At 45.0% G+C, this 27,561-nt stretch overlaps 1 protein-coding gene across 12 annotated transcripts in view, besides 2 other annotated features; it reads left to right on the top strand.

The window, feature by feature from the left end:
• The window catches only part of CTNND2 (catenin delta 2), a 932,611-nt gene that overhangs the window by 889,342 nt on the left and 15,708 nt on the right, over nt 1–27,561 (top strand). For all 12 annotated transcript variants that reach the window (NR_109988.2, XM_017009074.2, XM_017009072.2 and 9 more), the window contains 2 exons: nt 22,428–22,554; nt 26,863–26,994. Coding sequence is in view for 11 of the 12 variants with exons in the window: in XM_017009074.2 (XP_016864563.1) it covers nt 22,428–22,554; nt 26,863–26,994 (259 nt within the window). In the remaining variant the exon portion in view is untranslated. The remainder of the gene's footprint in view (nt 1–22,427; nt 22,555–26,862; nt 26,995–27,561) is intronic.
• Nucleotides 26,749–26,798: an enhancer, noted in NCBI's record as "active region_22384". NCBI's record gives its function as "activates an Ori minimal core promoter by ATAC-STARR-seq in GM12878 lymphoblastoid cells {active_cell/tissue: GM12878}" and the evidence as "EXISTENCE:reporter gene assay evidence [ECO:0000049][PMID:35858748]".
• Nucleotides 27,007–27,508: an enhancer, noted in NCBI's record as "H3K4me1 hESC enhancer chr5:10987709-10988210 (GRCh37/hg19 assembly coordinates)". NCBI's record gives its function as "activates a minimal SCP1, AML or CMV promoter by ChIP-STARR-seq in primed H9 embryonic stem cells {active_cell/tissue: H9 hESC(primed)}" and the evidence as "EXISTENCE:reporter gene assay evidence [ECO:0000049][PMID:30033119]".

The raw sequence follows: 27,561 nt of genomic DNA, 5'->3' as shown, positions 1-27,561 counted from the left end.
TTAAACATCTATTCTAGGCTTAGCAAAGGAAGCGTTCCAAAGGAAAACATAAGATATGGGAAGGAGGTACTAGGGGTAAAGATGAAATATGAAACTATAATGGGCAACTTCATTCAGTTCTGAATTACATACTACAAATTTTAAAGCATGAATTAAGGGAAAGAAACTTATAGACCAAATCTGGAGAGGCATTTATGGAGTTTGCATAATTAGGAGGTAAGAGATAAGGACATTATGGATAAAAGGGAAAGTGTGAGGGGAGAGATGGGAATTGGATTGAGAGTTACATGTCCGTGGAACAGAATTCGGCGCCATCTGTCATGCTCATTTTCTTGTCGAACCCAGGTACAGAGGCCAGAATGTCATTTCATTAGCTCACCTACTTTATGTTATCTAGGGAGACACATTCTGATTCAAATCAGAATATTCTTCCAGCTGGGTGTATTGATTAATATAAAACTATGTTTGATTCATGCTGCATTTGGAACCAAAGCATATTTGTATCATCGGAACCTTTGACTTTTGTGAAGCTTGGCCTTCTGGGTTATTTTGCCCTAATGGAACATCAACAGATGTAGGAGAATGTGATCACTTGCAGGCTAAAGAATGCATCACCCTTTTAAAGCCAGTCTTTAAGTTTAGATAACCGCAAATAGAACTTAGATGTTTTGTGTCATTGCAGAGGATATTTTCTAAAGGAAAAGACGATGTGCCATGGGAAGAGACTGGATGTCGGGGTACAAGAGAAGTAGGAGATGGAAAGTTCTTGACTTTTTAGAACCTTGGGACTTAAAAAGAAATGGAGTGACTGAAATAATAGGGTGCTTATGTTTGACTATGGTTGGGGAACTGTCAGGATGGCTGGTTTTGAAGGAAAGAAGATGGGTGAGGGGGAGGTCATAGAATTAAAAGATTATAGAAATCATCATGTATAAATTCTTAGATGATACCTTAATAATCTGCACAACATCTCCAAGAAGTAGTTGCATTGGTTGGGACCCAAAACTATAGGAGCTGAGACTACACAGGGATCCCTTTCCCTCTCATGGAGCTGTACGTGCTCAGGCAGGTGGCCCAAGGCCAGCAGGTGACCTTGATGCCTGTCACATTGCTCTGCCTTGCAAAAGAAACATCATTCCTGCCTGTGTAAGCAAAGCACCCTGGCTCTGCCCACTTCTCATTCCAGCCCATAGGGTGAGAGAGGGGAGAGGGGAGGGCAAGTGGCACAGAAGTTGCCAGTCTCGGGCTCACACCCCGGGGTGAGAGCTCAGTCCCATCGCCACAGCCCCCTGCCAGGGAGGATGGGGACAGGGGGCTGCATAACCCCTGCAAAAGGTTTGTGGCAGGAGAAGAAAGGCAGTACCGTTCCAGCAGTCATTTTCTTCCCAAATGGCTTTAATGTCAGCTGTAATCACAACCTAATGAGGCATGTTATCCCATTTTGGGGTAACTGTAATCATCCAAAACTTCTTACTTATATTAAGCAAAAATCTCATTATTTGCAACTTCTGTCCTCTAAAAGCTGTACTGGAAAAGTCTAATCTGTCTTCTCTGCAATAGCCTTCCTGGATTTGAAGCTAGCCATCTTTATCTACAAGGTCATTTCTTTTCTAGGTCTAAAATGTGTAGGGGAGGAAAAGAAATATCCTCCCTCACCCATCACTAGGTTCATGGCTGAAGCCCCTATAATGAAAGACAAATTATAGTAACAAGAGAAAAGCATACAAAATTATCTATATAATTAGAAAATTACATGAGATAATTGCATGCCAATTAATTATATGAGAACCTCTGTAAGGAAATAAAGGCCCAAAGAAACAGGTAAACTTGTGTATTTTTATGCTTAAGTTTGATGGAGAGTGGACACCCATGGAGAAGTCTGATTGGAGGACAAAAGGGTATGATCTAATGTTGATAAACAAGGAGATCTTACGGATTCCTCTGTGGGCCCCTGTGAGTTCAGAGATAAGGCTGTTCCTTTGCTCCAGTATAAGGAGGCACCTCTCGAATGAGGGTTTTATGACCTGCTTAAGGGAAGAAGCGTGAGGGGAAGGTGAGAGAGATCTTTCTGCCTCTGTTGTTTTCCCAAATGCCAAGGTGCCATATTTGGGGTTAGCATGAATCCCATCACATGCTGAATTCTAATATGTCAGCCTTTCCACAGCCTTCACCATGCTATCCTTTTTTGCCAAATGCATGTAAGTTTGTTGGTATCCCTTTGGTAATATAGCACCCCAAAATGAACGTATTCCTCCAAGCTTGTTTGAAGCAGAGGAGAATAGACAGAGACTATGCTTTCCTGATGAGGGACACTCAACTTCTACTCATAAAACTGGAGATCACATTGGTGTCTGAAAGGCTCATCCTACAATTTGGTGAAATACAAAGAGTGCATGGCCAGGGGTCCACAGCACAGCCCTGCCACTTACCAGCAGCATGACCTTGGGCAGGTGACTTGAGACCCCTTGTCCATCAGTGTAAGAACTGACTTCCGGCAGCCCTCTGGCCACCTCTGCTGAGGGGCGGAACACCATGAGTAGCCCTCCGATTCACCAGGTTTCAGATGCGCTAGGGTTGCTTGGCAGCCGGTTATCTGTACCTGATAAGCAGCCATTCCTGATGAAGAGCCACCAGGAAAGTAAACGACCTCTTAAAATGGTCTCTGGCTATTCTTAGACCTGGCAGCATGTTCTCTGGAAGCAGCGGGACAAGCCCTCAGATCTTTGGAGGTTTGGAAGCCTGGGTCACCATGATGCCTTCCTTCCACTTTATGTATCCAAGTCTGTATCTTTCCTTGACCTTTGTGTTAAAGAACCTTCATGGCCTTTCATGAAGTCTGTGGGCATCTCTCCCTCAATCCCACCCCCTCCCTTGGTTTTCCCATCCATGATGGGAAAGCCATAACACTTGCCTCAGTGGATTGCTGATGTCTCAAATGGAACAGCAGTCATCACAGTGCTTTGTAAAATGGAAAGTAATATATCCATGGGAGTTGCTGCCATTAATTCAACAACCCTTTTCCAAGCTGTTTGATTGGCAAGTGCCGTCTCTGCCATCCTGTCCACAGGCAGCTGAAGGTTTGGATCTGAGGATTTCATTTTATCATCATCATCATCATCATCACTAGTCACCTCTGCCTACATTTTTACAGCTCCTCTCCCCCTGGTCTCTCTACTCTGTCTCCTCTAGTCCCACTGTCTTTCTGCTTTCCCACGGTCTTTCTCCTTTCTCCCATGCAGCTCTGCCTGCTAGCGATATTCCTATAGGAAACAGAGTCCCATGTTTACAACAGAGAGTGCTAGGTGCTGAAAGCTGGTGATCAGAATGGAGGGGATGCTACCTGCATGCTTCCGTGCCCTTGCCTCTCCGTGGACTGCTTGCCTGGAAGACAAGCCAGGCCATTCAAACAGACCCTGTAAAGTTACTATGGAAAGGGTCAGGGCAGTCCCTGTTGTTAAAGTGGTAGATGATTTTTCCAATGTTCAGCTTATGGTCCTGAAGCTCATTTTGCTCTAAGAATCTCAAAGTGCTTCAGAGAGAACAGCGTCCACTCAGTATCTCTCCGAATGAATTAAAATCCATAGTTCAGGCGGGGCATGGTGGCTCATGCCTGTAATCCCAGCACTTTGGGAGGCCGAGATAGGCGGATCACTTGAGGTCAGGAGTTCAACACCAGCCTGGCCAACATGGTAAAACCCCATCTCTACTAAAAATACAAAAATTAGCCGGGTGTGGCAGTGCAATCCGCCTGTAATCCCAGCTACTCGGGAGGCAGAGGTGGGAGAATCGCTTGAACCCAAGAGGTGGAGGCTGCATTGAGCAGAGATCACACCACTGCACTCCAGCCTGGGTGACAGAGTGAGGCCCTGTCTCAAAAAATAAAAATAAAAAATAAATAAAATCCATAGTTCCTAAGCGTATGGATCAAATCACAGGTAGATCAGACGTCAGACCCAACCTCTTGTTGACAAGCAATGGGGTTAGAAACCAGATGCATTATCCCTCCTAATATTAGTGGTCTGGTGTTTTTATGGTTGTGCCCCCCTCCACTCCACCCCACACACAATGTTGTTATCTTGCACAGTGAGCTCATGTCTTGAAGAATGCCAGACTGCCTGTGCTTGAAACAGAGTAAGATCATATTTCTCTGAATAGAGACACTGTATTCACTCTTGCCTTCGTGATGAGAGAAAGAAAACGTAAAACTAATCTTTCAATGTCCTTCCTTTTATTGTCAGAGAAGATAGACTCTTGGGTTGCACAGCAAGTGAAGAATGAGCTTTGATGGGAGTGGAGTCATGCCCTTCATGGCCTGTCTCACACCAGGCTCTCTTTCCTTACTGCTCTTGGATTCATTTCATTGGCTCTTGCGGCCATTGCACTCACAAAACAAGAAATCAATAAGTAATTATAGATGGGTAAGGGAATGCCTGTAGATTTCCTCACATGTCCAAATCAGAGTGGATGAAGGAGTGAATACAGCCTTTTGTCATCTTTCGCAGCTTGCTTGTGGGAGACTGACCACTCTACATAGATGAGCCAGTAGCCATGGCCCTGCAAACTGAAGTCATGTTCTCATGTTTAACATTACTCCATCACCCTCATCTGCTGGACATTTGAAAAACAATACCAGATTCCAGTGAGAATTAGAAAGATACTTTGAAATATTGTCGAGGAAAAACACAATATAGTCAAAATTCATAATTTTATTTAAGCTTTGCAGTATGAAGGGTGAGGAATACTGAAGGGCTTTAATATGTCTTCCAATATGTTGCCATTTTGAGAATTAATAGATTCTACTTTCTGGGTATCTAAGATAGGGATGAAAAAGCAGTAAATCCTCTATAGAAATAAACTACCAAATGTAGAGCTGTCATTTTATCAAGGAAATTGCTTAATGGGAATTTATTAATCTTCCTACTGTGCTGGAAAATTCTTCAACAACAGATTATTGGAAGAACATAAGGACTTTCAGCCAGATTTTAAAACAACCCAAGGCTAGTGTCCACAAGGTTTGCAATTGTAGCTCCTCAAGTTCTTTCTTTTCTAAATCACTTGATGTCAAGTAAGGGTAGAAAACAAAAAGGCTAAGGTTAAACTCAGCTACCATACTGTCTCCTTCATAAATCTGGACGTTTACTTGTTGATGTTTGGTATTGACAAAGAAGGTCTTTCTTCACAAGGTCTCCTGACCTCTCTGAGACAACTCTCAGACACTCATATGATATCTGTCCAAAAGCAAAGGCACAAATGGGAAAAGAAGCAAAAATCAATTGTGCAAAAGTGGAAATCAATGCACATGGCAGTTGCTAAACAAGAAGTCACTAAGTTACAGCTGTTGCTGGGATAGATCCCCAAGTCAGGGGAAATCCCATATAGCAGTACCCAAACTAAACACTTCCTCTATAATTCCACCATTTCACAAGGCTTCGCTCGTAACATTTTTGAATCAAACCCTACAAAAATACCCCAGAGACAAAAGGCAGAATCAAAGGACCAGATCAGGAGCTAGTAAACTCAGTAAGTTTAATGTAAGTCTACATCCATTCTTCTCACTTACTTTGGGGCAATTAACTCAAACTTACTCCCTCGTTTTCTGGTGGATCCAGTAGATTGGGTGATATCACATCTTTGAGAACTCGGTGTGCTTGAGAGACAGCGTGATCAGTTTCTTCTCTCTTCCCAGCTCCATCTCTTCTCCCTCCCCTTCTCATAAGCTGTGGCTTCCCCTGTCTCAATGCCTCCCAATGAGGTTGAGCTAAGTGGGAAAGGAGACTCAAGGAGAGGAGAGCAGAACCTGACCATCTTGGTTATATCCTGGCTCTGGTACACTCTGCCCATGGGAGATGTCTGCTGGCTAGCTCCATCTCTCATGAGGGCAGTGGGGTGGGTTGCTCAGAAGTACCACCCTGCAACCAAGGACCTCCCAACTGGGGATGCCTGACCTCCACAGCCATCCGCCTCAGAATTCTCAATCAGCCTCAGACTACACACAGACCAGGGAAGATACAAATTTTGTGCCCCTGTAGCTTTTGTCATTTTGGAAGTCCTATTTAAGAAGAAGAGTACACTTTATGAATATAAAATTAGGTACAGACCCTGGAAGGGGCCCATGCGATGGGCGGGCATGAAAGTTCATGGCTCCATGGTCAGTTCACCTCTGGCACTGAATCTCTGTATTGCCCCGCTAATGCCACTGAAGACACCAGGCCTGCCACCCCCAAACTTCAGGGAGCTCATGGTGAAGGTCTTTACATAGTCCACTCCCTGGGCTTCTGGAGAGGGAGGCTGAGGAATCCCCAACCAATTGATTACTTCCAAGGAAGTTCTCACCACCAGCCGCTTCCACCCTCAGCCTAATCTTATATAATCTGGAGTTGAGTCATATGCTAATACTGCAGAACCCTATTTTGTCCACCATTTTTGCAACTCCGAGTGGAAGGTCTAAGACTTCGAGAAAGTGGGGCAAGGGGGCATCTATTATTCTTTGCCTTGCTTGGGACCTTAGCCAGAACAGAGACGATAAGAAAATTACATTAACATCCTGGCATACTACCTTATCATCAGTATTTAATTATCTACAAGTTTTCTAGAGAATCTGTTTCCTTGCCTTTTCCAGCTTCTAAAGGCTGCCTGCATTCCTTGGCTGGTGGCCTCCTTCTCCACCATCAGAGGCAGCAGTACCGCATCTTTGAAATTTCTTTGCTTATGTTGTCGTACTGCCTGCTCTGTGACCCCCCAAATCTCTCTTATAAGGAACAACCCTTGAGATGACATTGGGCCTACTGGGATATTCAGAATGATCTCTCCCTTTCAAGGTCTTTAACTTCATCACATCTGCAAAGTTCCTTTGGCCATTTAAGGTAGCATATTCACCGGTTCTGGGAATTAGGATGGTGACATCTTCTATGGGGGAGGCAGTATTATTCAGTCTCCCACTCCCTCTCACATAAAAGCCTGAGTGTAATGATCAAAGTCTGATATAACGCCTGCCAGAGCCAGGGGTTTGGCTCCTCCTAACTCCATGCTCACCACCTCTGGAGTGTTGCCCTCATCTGTATTATCCACATTGGCTATCAGTTTGCCCACATTCCAAACAACTGGAATGGAAAAGAGCCAGGGAGGGCATGCCTTTTTCTTTTAGAGACAAGAATGTAAATACTTCCAGTTCTTAATCAAGTGGCCACCCACATCTCCCTGTCTAGGGGCTTAACTGAAAAGCCGAGTTTCATTACACGGTGCGAAAGTGAAGAAAGGCTACGGAGATGTTCATTCCGTGGACATCCACGCTATGTGTGCAACAGCACCAATGCTCCTTTTGAGTATCTGTGCCCAGTTTTTATAAAAGCCACATTCTTGGGAGATCCCACAGTGCTGTCATTTCGTTGGAAATACTTCCACAGTAATTACCAATTGGCTTCAACCTTGAAAACGGCCCCAAGTCCATGACTCCTTTGCCCTATGCAGGGAGGCCAGCCAGTTCGATGGAAAGAGAACTGTACGTTTTCAGACTCCGTTTTGTAGCTGGAACAATATAAGAACATTAGCAACAACCAAGGGAAGAAGTGAGGTCACAGAATGTGGAACTGTCTCAGATGTTTCTTGTTGTTGCCACGTGTCCTGTCATAACCACGTGCCCGTGACAGGCTGCCAGCAGTTCCCGAGGTTAAAGCTGAGTGAACTCACAGTTCCCATGAACTGCTCTGAGAGAGCTGTTCATGCCGTCCTCACCGCCAGTGCTCCATTTAACCAGATGACAGATTGGCCGCTGGTAAGGTATGTAGCATAAAATAAAAGTATACAGCAATTGGGTTTTTCTCTATGCCAGTCTATGCGATAGTACCCCCATTTTCTTATTCTCCTTAATACCATGTGATTCCTCTTAGAGCAGTCCTGTCAATCCTACTAGCAAATGGCCACTCCTAGTAGCTTACATTCATTCGTACCTTCAATGCATATTTACTGAGTACCTGCTGGATCATCTGCTCCCTTCTAGGTTCTGGAAATTCTGAAGTGGATACATCCACATTGGGTTACCTTTCCCCAGTTACACAGTGGCATGCGTTTTAGCAATTTTTTCTTGATTGTTTCACTTTGTGCTTACTTTTATTGGGTTCTATTTTAAAATAGAAATATATATTTATTCCCTATTTATGGTCCAGGCCTCTTGTTAAGTCGTTTTCTCCTGACATTGTCCATTTTCCTCCTCCTGTTTCTTCATCCTCTCCCTCTGGTCATTCTTCCCCTAGAGATACATATGCTCTTCGTGCTTCTATCTTACGATGTTTGAGAAATGTCCTCTCCCCATCCTTCTCCATCTTCTGCCTTCTCACTTTCTGCTCTCCCATGGTCCAGCCTTCACAATGAGGTTTCTAGGAAGGTTGGAGTTCATTCATGGTGCCTTTCTTACATTCTGTTGTGCTCATCAACCCCTAGCAGTCAGTCCTCATGCCTCCACGGAAAGGGCTCCTAACTGGAGCATCCAACGAGTCTCATTGCCTGTGTGACTTAGGGAGGGCTCCCCACTGTAACACGCAGACCTAAACATCTAATGATCCAACTACACGAAAGTTTATTTTCTTGCTCCTGTAGTCATCCTGGACAGGTGTTCAAGTAGATGGGTCAGCTCTTCTCCATGTGGGCACTCGGGACCCAGACTCCTCCTTCCATCTGTGGCTCTGGCACGCCGTAAGGGCCGCAGCTATACCTGGCAACACACATGCCCACTGCCTCACCTCCATTGGCTAGATCTCCATCACGTGGGTGTGAAAGGCTGCCACAAGGAGAGGCTGGGACATGTGGTCTAGATGGGCATCCAGGAAGAAAAGGGCATGGACTGGGGAGGCCCTGACACATCTTTCTCTGTTAAACAGCCTCCTCCCTGGCTGCTTTGTCACTATTCTTATTTTTCTCTATGTGGGAAAGCGCCCCTTCTCAGTCTTTTTTGCCAATACCCTGGTCCTGGTCTTCCCTGCAACATCCTTGTTTGGGACCCTATACCTGCTAATGTAGATGATCTCATCTGCTCCCATGGTTTTTTTGTTGTTGTTTTTTTTAATAGAACCTGTCTCATGAGAACTTCACAGCATATAGGCAAGATCCCTTCACAAACCACTACCATCTTAAGACAATTGTTTTTTAATTATACTTTGAGTTCTGGGATACATGTGCAGAACATGCAGGTTTGTTACATAGGTATACAGATGCCATGGTGGTTTGCTGCACCCTGCTCCCATGGTTTTTAAATGCATTTGAAGACTAGTTTGTATCCACATTTATTTCTCTATCTGGTCTTCACTGTTTAACACTAAACCCATCCATACAACTACCCACATGACATCTGCACTTAGATGGCTCATCAGCTGTAACTGTCCATACATCCAGTGCTTAGCTCTCAGTATATTCCCTAAATCTATTCTTCTTCCGTGGTTGCCCATCTCAGTAAATAGCACCCAACCCACCTTGTTGTTCTTTTCAGAAATCTGAGAGTTATCCAACTAATACTTCCTTCTTTCTTATCTCCACTCTATTTTTCACAAACCCTGATGATATATTTCCTAAATATCTCCCATACCCAACTATGTCTCCCATCCTTACTTCCATCATCATCTGTCCCTGGTCCTGGTACAATATTACTGCCTAATTGGTTTTCTGGAATCAACGTTACCATCTTCAGTCTATTTTCCATTAAGCATTCAGAATATACTTTTAAAAATCCCGATCTGACCTGGCCATTCTCCTGATTAAAACTCTTCAGTACCTTCCATTTTCTCACAAAGTCCTGCTCACCTCCCTGCGCTGACTTCCGTCCACCCTGCCTGCGATCGCTTTGCCTCAGCCACGCTGTTCTTGCTTCCCCTTGCTCTTCCTCTGCAGGTACAAAGCAGTTTCCACCTCAGAGCCTTGGCATTGCCTGGGCACAGGTCAATTCCTCCCCCAGGAATGCCTCCCCTTCTCTGCCTCCAATCCTGGTTATTGCTGCCCCAGTGTAACTATAACACCCTCCAGAAAAACTTCCTGACTTTCCCCAGCTCTCTAAGGCTAATAGCAGTCCTTCCCAATAACCTGTACTTTTCCTTCATGGCTCTTACAGCCTGGCTATTGATGTGATCATGTCTGAACACCTGTTTCTCCTTCATCTTCCCCTCAACAACCATGCCAGTCTCTCTTTTCTTGCCCTGTGCTCAGCATGGTGCTAGCTACTTACTAATTTTTATTGAATAAAAGCACCAGTGTAGCTACCCCAGAGTGTAAGCCTAGCAGAGGGCATGTTCAGTGACTCTGCTTCCATTCACATTGTCATTAGCATTTTTCTTTTTTTTTTTTTTTTTTTTGTGAGAAGGAGTTTCACTCTTGTTGCCCAGGCTGGAGTGTAATGGCATGATCTCAGCTTACTGCAACCTCTGCAAAAACGAAACAGTTCAAGCAATTCTCCTGCCTCAGCCTCCCAAGTAGCTGAGATTATAGGCACGTGCCACCATGCCCAGCTAATTTTGTACTTTTAGTAGAGACAGGGTTTCTCCATGTTGCTGAGGCTGATCTCAAACTCCCGATCTCAGGTGATCCACCCACCTCGGCCTCTCAAAGTGCTGGGATTCCAGGCATTAGCCACTGCGCCCGGCCTGTCAGAAGCATTTTGAAGGAGACTGGAATATAGAGAACTTGAAGTTGAGACCCAGCGTAAACATCGAATTTGTTCCCCAGTGATGAGTGTATATGTAAAATAGCTGACTGTTCAAATGCTCAAATGACATATTAGAAGCTAGACATTTGTATTCCTAAATCTGAAGACTGGACTGTTCAGTTTTATCCTGAACTTAACTTTGCAGTACTAATTGAAACACAGAGGACATTGTTAAAGCTCATCCAAGTCAGATCTTTGTTTTAAGGCCTCAAAAGCAAAGCCAGGGAGGTAAGAGGACTGATATGGTCTTATTTCAATTTCCCAGGTGTTTTCGTTTCTTTGTTTGTTTTGGTTTTTTGCATTCCATTGGTACCTATTAACTCCTAGCGGTTAACAATGGTATACTTTCTTCTACTAAATCATATACATTTTTTCCAACTTTTCAAATCTTCTTGGTTACACTGGTTCTTTAGAATTAGCCCAGTAGCAGTAAATTGAATTCCTAAAACAGATTTACACAGTATTTGCTTTTAAAAGATGGTGTTGCACAAGATCCTTATGCTTATACGTACTGTACCTTTAAGTATCCAAATCAATTTAATTAAATTTCATTAGAAGCAACAGAGCTGAAACAAACTAATGACAGCAACTGGTATGTCAGGTGGTATTTATTTGTACATTAAACTGCAAATACTCCCTTTTGGCCCTTAAAATTTAGTTTAAATATTTAACTCTAATAGCTCTTGGAATTGTTGATGGAATTAGTTTTAATGAATCTTTAACAAACAGTTTACCTTAAAAATAGATGGGAGCTTGTTTTATTACAGCAGAGAGGAGCAGAAGGTTTTGTAGTTAAGCAAAATCTGGCTTGGTCTTTAGTCACACAGACTGTGCATCAGAATATTCTACCTTCAGTTTATTGTATTTAATACCTTTTCTTGAAATAAGAAGGAAGTGTATGTGTAAATGCCACTAATTTGAAATATTTTCATTCTCTGCTTAATGTGATTACATTAATAGGTTTCTTCCACTCAAAAATGACTGGAAAACTGGTACAATTTTGAACAATCAGGCTTCTGATACGTGAGCATTAATGTCTTAGCTGGTTACCTAAGGCAATGATTTCTGTTTTGACTTTCATCTGAAAAATAGGTCCCCAGCGAAGTAGTCTTGCTTGTGAATGTAAGTACTAAGCCCTGAGTGTTACAGGCTGGTGCATGGGTGAGCTTGGGTTACTAAAAGCCCAACAGATTTTTGCCACACTTTTCTTTATATCTCAAGTCACTTAAAAAAAAAATTAGACTTGACAAGCTTTGTGGGCTGTAGAGCCTTCAAGGACAGCTAAGGTGAAAAGCTTGTGTTTGTGACTTCAGTACCAAATAGTCTGTGTATGGCCACTGAGGAATCCTCGCTTAGAGGCCAAATCTTGCTACATTAAAAAACTTCCAGAACTTTTTAAAAAACAGGTAGAAAAAGGCCATACATAGGCCAACAGTGTCCTAGTCATTATTTTGGGTTCCAATTAATATCCCCAGTAGAAATAAACAAGCATTGTTCATTTTCAAAGTTAATTATTTCTTGAAGCTCCTGGGTCAGAGAAGTCTCTTATAAGAAAATAGTTGATGAATCTAACTTCTAAGGATAGAAGACAAAGTTTCCAAAACTCTCTTTGGAAACAAAATTATCAATAGAAACATCAACATTGACCATATCATCACAGCTGTGGCTATTCACTGGGTCACCCTCCACCCCATCAGGGTCAAGTTTCTAAAAGTTGTCTTCCAGGAGCAGGGTCAGAAGCCACCATGCACGTAACTCAAAATTCCATTTTCTGCTAAATCTCATCTGTTGAAACACCTTAATGAGGATTTGGTATTTAGCCTGTTTTCTCTCCCCATAATCACCAAATCCACTCAACCTTCATTTGAGCAGCCCTTGAAATATTCACTCTCCCCTCCCACCTTCTCTCTAAACTCTATTACATGGAATGAGCCAACTTCTCTCCCTAATCCCCTTTCCTCCTCCTCCATCAAGGAGTATCCTTCTCCATCCTTTCTGTGATTCAGCAGAAGTAGGGTGCTCTCACCTGCTCAACTCAAAATGGCAGGATGTCCCTTCATAGAGGGAGGCGGGAGCCTCAGAACACATGGGTCATTCTCATTCCACCACATCTAAATTCTCTCCACTCTCTTATTGACATGCTCTGCATGTTTTCTGGAGCACCACTGGTCATCACTGTTCCCTACCCAGTAATATTCCCACAAGGTGACCCATCCAGAAACCAACCCCTTCAGTTTAGTAGGCACATTCTGGAAGCAGGTGTGGACTGCTGTACCCAGCCCTAAAAGGAATTGGGGCATAGCTAATGAGAAAGGTAATATACTCTCCCCTTTTATCCTGTTTCCTGATTCCCCTATGGATCTGTGTTTGTGGGGAACTGAATGCATTTGCCATGGGCAGGTACCTGTATCTTCTTCTGAGCTCCATGGGGCAAGAAGCACTGGAGGTGGAGGGACAAGCTGTGTGCTCCAACTGAGTCAGCACCCACCCAGGGGCCAGAGGTGGCAGAGATAATGATGCTTCAAAATTATTTTCCAGACCGGTTAAAGAGGAGGCAATTGTATGTACTCACACTGAAACATGGTCAGTGGAGAGGAATTACCATTTAAAATAGAGCAGGCAAGCCAAAGGCCACTTTTCTTGTGATTGTTGTTAGGTACTATTTTACCTAAGCTAACACTACCTTTAGCACAGTTGCGAGTATGTCATAAAAGACAGATCTACCAACAGCAGAAGATGATTCTGATGAGGTTACTCTGAGCTACAATTAAAAGAAAAAGGTTCTAAGGCTCTGAATGTATTTATTTCTTATAGAATAGAGTGTAAGAACCGTGGATGCTAGCTATAAAACCTGTGAAATTGATTATCATTTCATTTTACAATAATTAATACTGTCATCTTAAATCATTGACTCCAGCTAGCATTGATTAGGCACCTCTGTGTTCCAGGTACTATGCTAGATACCACGGCTTCAGAAATAAATGAGGCACCCTTGCTGCCTCACAGCTAGGGAGACAGCCTGCATTGCTAAAGTCTGTATTGTGATGTAAAAGCATTTTATTACTATCATGGAAAGAAAACTGGTTGCATTACTGAAAACTCCCCCCAAACCAGGGTGGCATAATTTATTTGGCAATAGTAATTGAATGAACATGCATTACCTGCCTCCTGTTTGCCTAATACAGAACCAAGCAGGATAAGATTTAACAGGTAGAAAAAGACAAGGTGCCCTGCTATGTCATAGAGCTGCCTGATCAAAGGTGGGGATGTTTGAAATTGAGTCTCATAAGCAGTGCATGCTGGGTGATCAGGTGTGATTGGGGCTCAGTGTGTGTGGCACCTCTCTGGCCTGAGATTTTGACCTGTTTTGTTACTATAGAAGTCAACCTTGGGAATGGAGACTGAAGGGCCTCCTGGGATTTAGCACTTTAAAAAATGTGCCCCAACTTGTCACTGACACCTATGCAAAGAAACCCCAAGCCAATGGTTCACAGCCCTGGCTGTTCATTAGCATCCATTTGGGGGAGGAGTGGAGCTTTTGAAAATAAGGATACCCAGGCCCTACCCGGAATAACCTAAAGAGAACCTCAGGGCTGGGGCCCAGGCATTACTATTTTTAAAACTCCCCAGCCTGATGAGTCACATTGCCCTTAATGTGTGGAAAAGAAGCTGAGATGGAGCTTACCAGTAATTGTGAGAGAAGGGCCAACTCCTGACAGCTCTCTAATTCCACCTCTCTATCTGCTGAGACACCCAGGGTTAGCAAGCCAAGTAGTGAAAAGATATTCATGAGAATAGTTTTGAGCCTTGCCAGACAGTTCTAGCTCATCCCCTGCATACAAAGCTAACAAACTCCTGTGCTCATCTGAACTGAATGTCGTGCACATTTTTTTCTTTCTTGAGACAGAGTTTCATTCTTTCACCCAGGCTGGAGTGCAGTGGCACAATCTCGGCTCACTGCAACCTCTGCCTTACGGTTTCAAGCGATTCTCCTGCCTCAGCCTCCCGAGTAGCTGGGATTACAGGCACCCACCACGACGCCCAGCTAATTTTTGTGTTTTTAGTAGAGACGGGGTTTCACCCTGTTGGTCAGGCTGGTCTCAAACTCCTGACCTCATGATCTGCCCGCCTCGGCCTCCCAAAGTGCTGGGATTACAGGCGTGAGCCACTGCGCTCAGCCACACAATTTCTAGAATAAGAAGCTGTGGCTCAAGTGTGTGTTGTCCTAACCTCCTGTAGACCAGTCCGAATGAAAGCTACTTAGTCCCCTCATTCAAACTGTTAGTAGAAGTCTCTCTACTAATACATTCTTCTTGGCGATGTTTACAGGATGTTCAGAAATATAAAATGGAGAGTGTTATAGATTCAGGGCCGTCGAAATCCATAAAAAGAAGACCTGTATCAACTAAACAGACTGACCACGTCCTAGAAATACCGTGAAGACCGATGGTAGTGGGGCTGTGGGGATGAACATCGCCCGATTGTCGTGCACATTGGAAATGCCCGTATGGACGATTGTAGCTTTGGGGAATAATAAAGTTTCATAAGAAACACATTGAAAACTTGAGCACAGAGGCTGAAAGTGGTGGAGGGACAGCTAAAGGGTGTAAGATAAAGAACATCAGATTGTTCCTGGTGGCAATTTAAAGTTCAGTGACTTTGAACTCATCTTCTTTTTTGGATTTCTATCTCTATATACTTGGAACAATTTAACAACCTCCAGTTTTAAGTGTAATGTGTTAAAAATAAAAACCAATTTGAGGCACAGATATCATATCACATTTTTGACAGCTTAGCTGCGTCTTCAGCTGAAGGGCACAACTTGTGGGTCAGTCTGTTGAAGGTGAACGACAGATAGTAAAAGAGTTCTTTATCATCAATAGGAAGGATTCATGGCCCTTCCCCGGTTACCGTGGTGATTCTTCACTCTCCCTGCTTCTTCCCTGGGCTTTCTTATCTAACCCCTATGAGCTGTACAGGTGGTGCAAAGAAGAGCTAAGGTAAAATGCCCAATATAACAGAATTCACAAAAGAAGTCTCTGGCCTACAATAAGTTGATATTTTAACAAGAAAATACAGTGATTAAAGAGGCAAATAATGATTGAAATGATATGTGCCCGAGTTGTATATATTTATGTGAACCACCTCCAAGCCATTCTGAGTGACAGTGGGAAGCAAATGAATAATAGATTGATTGCTAGCTGGCTAGATAACAAAAATATACATGGCTAGTGGAATAGAAGGAATGTCAGCTTAGCAATAACTTTCCCTTCTTATTTAAAAAGTGAAACATTATTTTAATTGAATGACTAAAGATTTTATACAATAAAAGATGAGGAAGGCCATGAGATTTGTGCTCAAGGTGTTTGTAATGAGTGGTGATTGATCTATGCCATGGGCCAGCTGCACCCTAGCCTCTAGCATCTAGTGTTCCATGAGTTTCCATGACATTTGGCAGCTGCTCCTCTATATCTGTGGGAAATTGGTTACAGGACTTCCCAAGGATACCAGAATTTGTAGATGCTCAAGTCCCGGCTGTATTAATAAAATGGTGCAGTATTTGCATATAACCTACGCACATTTTCCTGTAAACTTTAAATCATTTCTAGATTAATTATAATATGTAATGTTAATACAATGTGCTATGAAAATAATTGCATTGTTTAGGGAAGGATGACAAGAAAAAACAACATGTACATGTTCAGTACAGACAATATGTTTTGGAATATTTTCCACCCTAGGTTGGTGAAATCCATGGATGTGGAACCCACAGATACAGAGGGCCAACTGTATGTGGCATCGGAACTAAAGTTTTAAAGTCCTTTCTGGGCATTGTTGAGCATAGCAGTGTTGAAGTTGTGCAGTTTAGTCACTGTAGCCTTCACTCTGCATCGATGAATGAGAGAGGGGAGATGGAGAAGATCACCTCTTCTCACAGCACACAAATTTTATGTTTGTCTCATTGCAGTGTAGAAGGTATTCTGTTCCTCCTGGGGCTTCTGAGCTGTGGGTCAGGAAACAGCTCTAACGAAGATATTTATTGGGTGTTTACTCTGCCCCATTCCTTAAGCTCCCTTCTCCCCTCCATTCAAAGTGCCTATACCCACAGGCATGCAGTCCCTGGCCATCCTCAGAGGGTCTGAGTCAGGGATTGCTTCTCCGTTTCTCCCACCACACTCCGCTGTCATCACCCTCAGTTGTATACTAACCCAATCACATACAGACAAGTTACCTGCAGGACCACACTTCTGCCAGGCATTTGCATTTTCCATATTTGATTTTATGAAGGATTTGAAAATTTTTTGAGTGCATCCATATAGGAGTTCCTTTGTAAGCAATTTTGTTATTACACTCAGTTTTCTGACATTTCCAGAAATGTAAATACTTAAATGGTTGCAGTATAGTCTAAACATCATGAAATCTGAGTTGCTGAGCAACACATATCTCCAATCACCTGCATAAGAGAGCAATGCTAACAAACCTACTGATGTCTCACCAAGTGAAACCAGTCCTACAGCTGTGCCACATTTAGGTCTAGTGTGTCCTTAGGTCTTAGAACATAATAAATATTTAGCCAATATTCACATTGTAAAGTACCTTGTTCACCTTTAATACCACACAGAATATCATCACATTCATAGCCAAAGAAGCCAAGGTTTTGACTAAACGACTGTCCCGAGCCACTACTTGGAATCCCAAAGCACACCTTCTACATTGCAATGAGACAAACATAAAATGATCTGTCCCCATTCAGTCATATTTAGGACTTCTGCCCTCTACAAAGCATTTCCTTCAAAAGACAGGGATTTAAATTTTTTTTTTTTTTTTTTAAGATGGAGTCTAGCTCTGTTGCCAGGCTGGAGTGCAGTGGTGTGATCTCAGCTCACTGCAATCTCCGCCTCCCAGCTTCAAGTGATTCTCCTGCCTCAGCCTCCCGAGTAGCTAGGATTACAGGCACGCACTGCCACGCCCAGCTAATTTTTGTATTTTTGGTAAAGACGGGGTTTCACCATGTTGGCCAGAATGGTCTTGATCTCTTGACCTCGTGATCTGCCCGCCTCGGCCTCCCAAAGTGCTGGGATTACAGGCGTGAGCCACCGCTCCTGGCCTAAAAAAAATGTTTTTAATCGTTCCCATACATAAGTAATGGACACATACATTGTTGAAATATCTTCCATCCTGAACGTGTTTTTGGTAAGACTGCTCCTCCTCTGTGTTTGCCTCCACCCTCCGGAGGATTTCAGAGAACCCCACAGAACTCCAGTGGAGACATTTTCTCCTGCCGTGATACCTACCTACCACCCCCACCCTTCCCTAAGGAGGCATTTATTTGTAACTTACACCCTTCATCTCTCATCACCTCAGCTGTCACAATCACCCAAGCCTCCTGGGACGACCATCATTACTTGGACCCCTCGATCAAAGGCTCTGAGCAGCCAGTTATCCCCCATATATTCCACCTGTCTTCTGTCCACCTCCCATTTCTTTTCCCTCTTTAACCTGTGGTTAAAAATCAGCAAAATTGGCCGGGCACAGTGGCTCACACCTGTAATCCCAACACTTTGGGAGGCTGAGGCAGGCGGATCAAGAGGTCAGGAGATCAAGACCATCCTGGCCAACATGGTGAAACTCCGTCTCTACTAAAAATATAAAAATTAGCTGGGTGTGGTGGTGCATGCCTGTAATCCCAGATATTTGGGAGGCTGAGGCACGAGAATTGCTTGAACCCAGGAGGTGGAGTTTGCAGCGAGCCAAGATCACGCCATTGCACTCCAGCCTGGTGACAGAGCGAGACTCTGTCTCAAAAGAAAAATAAATAAATAAATCAGCAAAATCCCCTGTGTCCGTTTCGCAAACCTCTTCTGCTCATCTCCTGTCGGCCCTGAGGACACAGCCCCCCGAGCCCCCTCCTCGAGGGCTGTTTAATTTCCCACCCACCCTCCCTCCCTTGTGTCCCACCCTGGAGGTGGAACAGACGTCCTTCTTGGAGCAGTCGTCTTTCTTGCCCCCTCCTCATTGCTCTTTTGAGAAGGATCTCCGCTCCCCTCCCTCAAGAAAACCCCCAGCACCTGTGAAGTATCCTCCCAACAGCCTGTGGCCCTCATAAGCCCACCAGTACCCTGATCAATATACACTCTCCATATCGTCTCTAGCACCTACATTTTCCTCCCTACTGGGCTTAGCTTCCGTGACGTTCCCTTGTCTCTCTCCAAGTTGCCTGATGACCCATCAACTCTACCCACTCCACACCTGCCCTAGGGCAGCTGACTGTGGCTGGAGAGAGGCACACACGGATGCTGACCAGTCAGCTCCTTTTTGGTTCATTGCCACAGCCTCCAGCCCTGTCCGGCACCCCGGCCACTTGCCCTGGCCAGTCAGCTCGCTCCCCACCCAACTCAAGGACCACTCCACATCCCCGTCCCCTTCCTTCCTCCCTTCCCTTTCTCTCTTCTCTCTGTTCTCTAAGCTCCAACCCTTCCTTATTCTCAGCAGATGACCTCACTTCTTCTCATTTTCCATAAGAAAATGCAAAAAACAAAAAAATCAAGAGTGAATATCCTTATCTTCCTGTCACCCCATCTACCAGTCTCTTCCCCATGTCCATGGCCACAGTCTGTTTCTGTGGGCAGTGACCCCATTGCTCACTTAATCTTATCCACCTTTCCTGTCTTGAGAATGTTCTTCCTGCCATTTTTCCCTTTCTCTCCTATGTCCCCAGGTTTTTCCTTCTCTGCATTCAGTCATTCCCATCAGCACACGAAATACTGCAATATCTTCTAGGTGATCTATGAAAACATCTCTCCAGCCCTCACTCTCTTCAAGCCCATTTCTCCATTTCCGTTTAAAATAAAACTTTGCCAAAGGCTTGTCTGTACTCACTGTCTCCCCTTCACCAATTCTCATTATCTTTTGGGACCGCTGGAGTTAGACATTTACCAACCTGACCAAAGAAAGCACTTTTGTCCCCGTCACGAGGACTTCCTTCCTCCCAGACCACCAGGCAGCTCTTGGTCCTCCTCGGTATTCGGTTGGTCTCCTTCTCCTCCTCACGCATTGCTCCTTTGGTCTTGCCTGATGCCACAGTCACACCCTCCTGATGCTTCCTGTAGTTCACTGGGTTCCTTCTTGGTCTCCTTTGAAGCTTCCCCTACTCTTTGCACCCCTCTCAATATTGGAATGTCCTCAGGCTGACTCAGCCTCTGCCTTCTGCTTTTCTTTATTTGCATTCGCTTACAGGTTTGCATCCATTCTCTTTGCTTTAAATAATATCTATATGCTGACGTCCAAAATTCTGCCTCCAGCCCTGAGATCCCAGTTTGCAGATCCTGCTTCCTTCTCTGTCCCTCTTCGGTAACCATATACGTCCCCATGAGGCAGTCCTAGTTCCACTCCCTAAAGCTGCTTCCCTCCCTCCCATTGTTCCTGGCTCAGTGAAGGGGACCTCAGGCCCCTGTGGTTCACACCAGAAGCACTGCGGTAAGGCTTGATTCCTCTTTCCCACACCAATAGCCATGCCACCAGCAAACCCTCCAGTGTGGATACCAGATCTGCACGCTTCCCACCACCAGCACCCTTCAAGCCTGGGCCATCTCTCCTCTGTCCAGGGGAGTGACCTCCCAAGCAGCTTTGCTGTGGCTACTCCTCCCCAAACTGTCCTGGACACCCAGAGCTTTCCTGTCTTCCTGGCCCCCTGCTCACGCCTATTCAGTCCCAGGAGCCTGTTCTCACACCAGCGAAGCCGTTCCCACCCAGGGCCTTCACATCTGTTCTTCTGTGGGCTGGGAAGCCAAGATCTGTGTCACCAGGGTCTGGTTCAATTGTCATCTGCAGGTCCTTCTGCAACGTTAAGGCTCCCGACAGCACCTCCCTGACCCCACTCCACAAAATAGAGATGCCAGCATCCTCACCCCTACTTTTCTATACCCACCCCGCCCCTCCTTCCCCGCCCCCCTTCCTCCTTCCCGGCCCCCGCTCCTCTTTCCCCACCCCTTTCCTCCTTCCCCGCCCCGTTCCTCGTTCCCCGCCCCCCTCCTCTTTCCCCGGCCCCTTCCTCCTTCCCCGCCCCCCTCCTCCTTCCCCGGCCCCCGCTCCTCCATCCCCGCCCCCTTCCTCCGTCCCCGCCCCCGCTCCTCCATCCCCGTCCCAGCTCCTCCATCTCCCCCCACCCCGCTCCTCTATCCCCGCCCCTGCTCGTCTATCCCCTAATCCGGCTTGGTTTTTCCTTCCAAGCACTTGTTAGAATGCCACGTTAGTATTAATATGTTTTTTGTAACTTGTGTATTGTTTGACTTTGGGTGGCCTATTTACTTTCGAAGGCTCAAATTCTTCCTGTAGAATGCAGATAATGGTATCCATTAGTTTGGTTTTATTTCCATTAGAGTAATATGTCCAATATTACTGACATTATAGCAAAGGAAAGCAGGCACTGTCCCAGCCCCTGTTCCCACTTTACATTGGCACTTGTTTTCAATTCTTTAGCTTTTTTTTCTGATAATATTTAGACTTTTAAGGGGCTCAAAACTCTATCAAAAATCATTGAAAACATAAATAGATGAATTAATAAAGAACAAAATGCATACTCATTTCCATGTTCCTAATTCTTATTAGATACACCAAGACTAATCTTTGTGTATCTAATTCTCGTTATTCCTGTTCTACTTGACTGATAGGATAAAGCCAGAATGAGAGGTGCATGATTTTAAAAGATATTACCCAGCTTACTTACTAGGTGCTAACTGTGTGGCAAGATTCTCTGAACAATCCCAAGAGAACAAAGCATTGAGCCCCTTAAAAGTCTAAATGTTGTCAGGGGAAAAAAATAAAAAATCTAAAAGAATTGAAAGCAATGGCCTCTGTAAAGGAGGATTTGGGGGTGGAGCAGGTGACTGCTTTTCTTTGCTATAATGTTAGTACTATTTAACATGTTACTTTGATAAAAATAAAATCTATTTAAAAAAGAAAAAAAGACTGGAAGGAAATACCATGACAGGTTAACAGGAGTTCTCTCAGGTGGAGAGGGTGGAATTACCACCTATTTTTATTTTCTTCTTTATGCTTTGTAAATTCACAAAATAATCTGTGATATATTTATGCGGTTTTTATAAGGAAAAATAGTATAGATGCTTTCTGTATATTAACTAGATGTCAGAAGCCTAACGGAGGCTTGGTAGGATGCATTTTGAATATGCTCTATATTGAAAAATATCATTCCTGGAGCAGACCAGCTTGGAGACAGGCGAGGGTGGGCATTTGGGGCTGGAAAGGACACAGGCAGGTAAACGGGAAGGGAGGACGCTGCCCTGGATTCTGGTTGCCAACAGATAGGTCCTGGGAGCAAAGGGGTAAACCCTTGTGGAAAATCTTGAGGCAGCGGAAGAGGGAGCCAGGCAGAGCTGGAACCAGGTCGGCAAAAAATAGACAGTTTCCGGGTCCCCTAACATTCTGAGCATCGTATTTTCATCGAAGTCGAAGCTTCTGACCAGAGCGGGTTTGTAAAGGGACCATTTATTCAACATTCATGAAGGAAAGCAGGCCCTACCCGCCAGGCTCTCTGGAGGGAAGGAGGTGTGTCTTCATTCACATTTGGCTCTGTTCACCTCCATGAGAGCGCAGAACTTCAAGAACCTCTTCTGACACACCATAGAAATATTATGCAAATCCAGATACTTGGAACTTAAAAATGTCCGGAGGTGAAAAATCACTCTGTCTTGCCCATCTAACAGGAGCGTGCTGTGTTTTGCAGGATGGATGGTCACAATACCACTTTGTAGCCTCGTCTTCAACCATCGAGAGGGACCGGCAAAGGCCCTACTCCTCCTCCCGCACGCCCTCCATCTCCCCTGTGCGCGTGTCTCCCAACAACCGCTCAGGTAAGAGGCTGCCGTGGCTAGCCAGCCAGGCTTTATTTCTCGTTGAGCAAAGACGGTCCTTCCCAGTCCGTGAGCCAACCCGTACTCAGAGGAGAGCCTTCCATTCAGACCTTCGCTAGAAGTAGGAAATGAATCTGTTCTTTGTACTGTGGTGGCCACTCTGTGTTTTGTATACACAGACTCAGAGCAAATCTCCTTCTCTAACAGGTTCTTATGCATGACATGCACGTAATGAACCTGAATTCAGGAGGAACGAGTATAAAGAAAACTGTCATGTGTCTGCAAATCCGGGGTTTCCGTGGACAATTTTTCCAACTTAAAATAGTTTGAGTTGGCCTGGCGAGGTGGCTCATGCCTGTAATCCCAGCATGTTAAGAGGCTGAGGCAGGCGGATTGCCTGAGCTCGGGAGTTCGAAACCATCCTGGGCAACATGGTGAAACCCCGTCTCTAGTAAAAATACAAAAATTAGCCGGGCTTGTTGGCACACGCCTGTAATCCCAGCTACTCGGGAGGCTGAGGCAGGAGAATCACTTGAACCCGGGAGGCCGAGATTTCAGTGAGCAGAGATCGCGCCACTGCACCCCAGCCTGGGTGACAGAGTGAGACTCCGTCTCAATAAATAAATAAATAAATAAAATAAAAATAGTTTGAGTTGCATTTTGTCATAATTGGGATAAAAAGTTGAGGAGACCAAATGTGCTTTCTTCCTTCAGTGTGATATACATTTGACACATAGCACTGATGCTTTCATAACTGTTCCACATCTAATTGGCTTTTCATTATTAATGATAAACCGGCAGATGCCACTGATAAATTATTATCGTAGCCAACTATAACTTCCATGTCATTCCATTTAATTTTTTTCTAATTTTGTCACATTCCTATTGCTTAAATTTTGAACTTCTTGTATTCGTAAAAATACTTGATTTTTATACCCTTTTTAATTCACATTAAGAAATGCCAAAAATCAGAGGAAAGATGAAAGGCAAATGTGAACACACCATTTAGTAATATAAATGGCATAAATTTGCTGTTTTCCTCACAGTTTAGTTTTTAAAACTTTTATTTTGATTTCTGCATTTTGATTTTGTTCTGAGAGTGAAAGATGGATAACAAGTTATATGCACCCACACAGATGACAGCTATGTAGGCTCTTATTTATGAAAGCTTTCTTCCTACTCTTCTCTGCCCTCTCCCTGCTGAGGAAATCCTATTCTCTGAAATGACACCTGGGAGGACCTGGTAGAGAGCATTGCCCAGCAAAGTGGTCTCCCTACCCGCGAGAATGATGGTTGCAGAACTCCACGCCAGACTTTACTGTCAACATGATGAGAAATGAATGGCCAATATCTGACTGAAATAAATGGCCCGCTCCCAGCTCTGTGAAAGCTGATCCTTCTAGTGTACTGTCATTGCTTATCACATTTAGTCCAACCCTGGGTGACGATCAGGAACCCCCTGTACCTGTGGAAACGTCCACCCATCTCAGAAGCATGGAGGTGGCCTCTTAGGCCTCTTATTTCTGTAATTCCAGCAGGCTTAAAAAGATAAAGCGCATGGAGTGTGGAAAGCATATGGATGGTGTCTTTTGGAAAGCAGTGATTATTAAGAATTACAGTGAGCCAATCAGTGTTATGAGAATGAAACGACATGATGGATCGGCAAGGGCTGGAAGAGAGAAGCAGCCTTTTCTCGCGAGCAGGCAGGGCTGTGTTCAACCAGCCATGCAGACAGTGCGCTGCCTCAGGACTTCCTAGGCGAGGCACATCCAGACACCTAATAAACACTTGTTTGCGTGATTTGATTTTTCCCAGAACTTAATCCTGATTTACCAGAGACTTGGAGCACCGCTGTGTGTGAGGTCTCAGGAGATAATTACACACTTGATGTGGTTTAATAAACACCACCATCTGGGCAATATTGGATTCTAATTTTAAAAGCTGTGGTCAACAGGTTTTAAAATATTGTCCCTTCATGATTATGTGGCAGTAACTCATAAAAGGCTAACCTTTATTAGGGAAGACCCAGAGGCAAAAGGGCAAAGGCAGGAAGAGAGACTTTCCTGGAAGAGAAAGATGGTGAACCAAAGAGAAGGGGGCAGCAGGTGGAAGAGGTTAGCGAGGAACCAGCGAGCAGACAGGAACTGGATGCAGAGCCCAGTTGAGTGACAGGGCACAGAGCTTGCTAAGGACTCAGTTGTTCTTGCAGAGGTTCCCTCTCCAAGCAACAGAACCCCAATCTTCATACGACACAGTGGCTGCCCCTCACATCTCCCCAGATTCACATTCGGGACAGAGATGGCCCAAGTCCCAGCCTTTGTCCTCTCCCCTGGAACCTCTCTTCCCTCACAGCAGAGCCTGGGCATTCTCTCCACCTACACAGGGTCACTGTGGATCAGGGAGGTTCAGTCCTTGATCAAGTCATTGCAGCTCCAGGCTTGTCCTACAAGTGATGAAGGTGCTGCAGCTGTCTGAGCTGCATGGTTTTCTTCCCTGTCTGCCATTGCATTTGTACCCAGGACTTCTGGCCAGCTGGCATTGGGTGGGGTTCAAGCCTCAGTATTTTTTTTAAAGGATTCCAGGTAATGAATTCTAATAGGCATCCAGGATCCAAAACCCGTGATGGCTTCAAGAGCTGAGCATTGAGGCGTGATTTTATTTTGATAGGTTTGAGAGGGTGGCAACAACCCATGTTTATCTTCCCAGCACTTGGCTGTAACGTCTGTTGGGCACTTCTGCCTCTCATTCTACTTTATTTGGACATCCATTTCCTTACTCGATTGAGAGCTGCACAAGTTCAGGAAGAGCCACGTGATCTGCATGTCTGCCTTGCACAGTGGCTAGCACAGGAATTTGTACATAGAAGATATAAGGGTGACAAACTGAATCACATGACTCAGTGACATGAGAGGTGCCTTGGGGGACCACAGACCCAAGGAGCAAAGAGACCCTACAGAGGGTGTGAATGATAAGCTCGAAGGTAAACTGAAGTTTGGCTGGGGAGGAGCTTTGACACTAGCAAAGGAAAGAGAGATTTATCCTAAAAATCAGAGTGCTCTAGGGATTCCTAGCCTTAATAGTCACCAAGTATGCTCAGTAAATATGGATTCTGAAGCCCGTCACTGAAAATTCAGACTCAAAAGGTCCAGGATGGGCTCTGGGCATCCATAAATTCTCAAGTGAGTGTTGAGGGTAAACAAGGCTCTGAAGCACTGCCCTGGGCTATGGGAGCTGGGGAGAGCTTCCTGACAGAAGGACACGGCACCTGAGCTCCTGCGGAGCTGGACACAGCTGCAGGTGCCCACAGGGTGGGGTGCGCGACCAGCTGCCCCCTCACCCAGACGCATGGCTCCTGCCAACCTCTCCCAGTGCCCCTCTGCACTGGCAGGAAGGTTGAGTTGCTGCCAATCCATTCAGTCACTCATGAAAATTCAACCTCCTTTTACTGACTTCCTTGCCTCTGAGTTCAGCTTTTCCTCTCTTCTAGTACCAGTTTTTTAAGGACTCCTGGAATTTCCCAGGAGGATCCTCCAATTACAACCCAGCACTTTAGAAATGGGTGTAAGAGGAACGGCAGGGCTCAGCCTCCCAGCCAGACAGGCAGTGAGTGGCTGAGGTGTAAGGAGGGCCTCAGAGATTATTGGGGTGTTTATGCAAAAAGCTGGAGCAAGAATGCCCTAGCAGGAACTAGAGCTGCCTCCATGCCCCTCCCCAGCCCACCCCAGCCACAGACAAAGAAGGTCTTTGTGGGCTTGGTTATTTTTGCCCCACAAATCATCCTGTGTAGAGAGCTGTTTCCTCTGACTTTTTTAAAGGCAGTTTCTAGGTGACTCAGTGTTTAAGTAAAACTGCATTTATTTTAATCAAGGATTAGTCAATATCAGTAATAGATCTTCTGAAACACATCTAATTAAGGAAGGGAGCACGGGAAGGAAAGGGAAGGAAAAGAGAAGAGAAAGGAAGAAACCAAAAGCAGTCTCATTCCTAAACTGCCCCACACACCTTGGGCAGGTCACGTCCCCTCCATGATCTCTCTCTGAGGAAGATGGCCCCAGGATGTGGTCCCCAGTTGCCAGCCTCCAAATCACATGCCCTCTAACTATAAAGCATCAGTTGTCACAGGTGAGGGAATGGGGCAGGGACAAGAGCCAAAACTGCCAAAAAATAAAAATTAAAAAGAAAACCCATCAGGTCCTCACGTAGGCATTGAGATGCGGGACCATGCATAGTGAGGACCCTGACTGTGTGGAAGGCACACACGCTGTGGGATGAGATGCAGAAAATCCCCCTTTTGATTTCTTTATGTAGCAAGTGCCCCAGCTTCACCTCGGGAAATGATCAGCCTCAAAGAAAGGAAAACAGACTACGAGTGCACCGGCAGCAACGCCACCTACCACGGAGCTAAAGGCGAACACACTTCCAGGAAAGATGCCATGACAGGTGAGCGCCCCTCGCGCGCCCCCTCCTGGAACTTGGTGGCTTGACCCGCGACAAGGCAGAGATATGGGACATCAGGCTTCACGGGGCTGGCTGCGCTTGGCTGCTGAGCAGGACTTAGCAGCTGTCCAGTCACTTGAGAGCTTGATAATGATGATTTCCAAGAATTGGGACTAAGAATAGAGGCATAACTAAGATAAAATGTTTTCTACCCATGTTTTATCGGTCCTTTCCTCTTGTTTGCCCAGCTCATAATATTCTTTCAAATTAGAGAGAATATTCCCACATATTTCTTCCTCATTGACATCACCCACTGGGGAGGGGACTCGATGGAGGCAGTGTAGTTAGGCCCTGTGCATTAGGAATGGAGGGAACTGAAAAGAAGGTGGAAGGGGAGGGGAGGGGAGGGGAGGTGGGGAGGGGAATAGAGTGGGGAGGGGAGGAGAGGGGAGTGGGGAGGGGAGGGACGGGGAATGGAAAGAGGAGGGCAGGAGGAGGATTTAAGGGGAACTGCATGAAACTGCTGTTGAGATATTTTCCCCTCTTGCCATGATACAACCTCTTACGTGA

The sequence above is a fragment of the Homo sapiens genome, chromosome 5 (assembly GCF_000001405.40).
Source record: "Homo sapiens chromosome 5, GRCh38.p14 Primary Assembly".
NCBI lineage: Eukaryota > Metazoa > Chordata > Mammalia > Primates > Hominidae > Homo > Homo sapiens.
The sequence above is the reverse complement of the archived record's forward strand: the minus strand, read 5'-3'. Positions and strand labels throughout refer to the sequence as shown.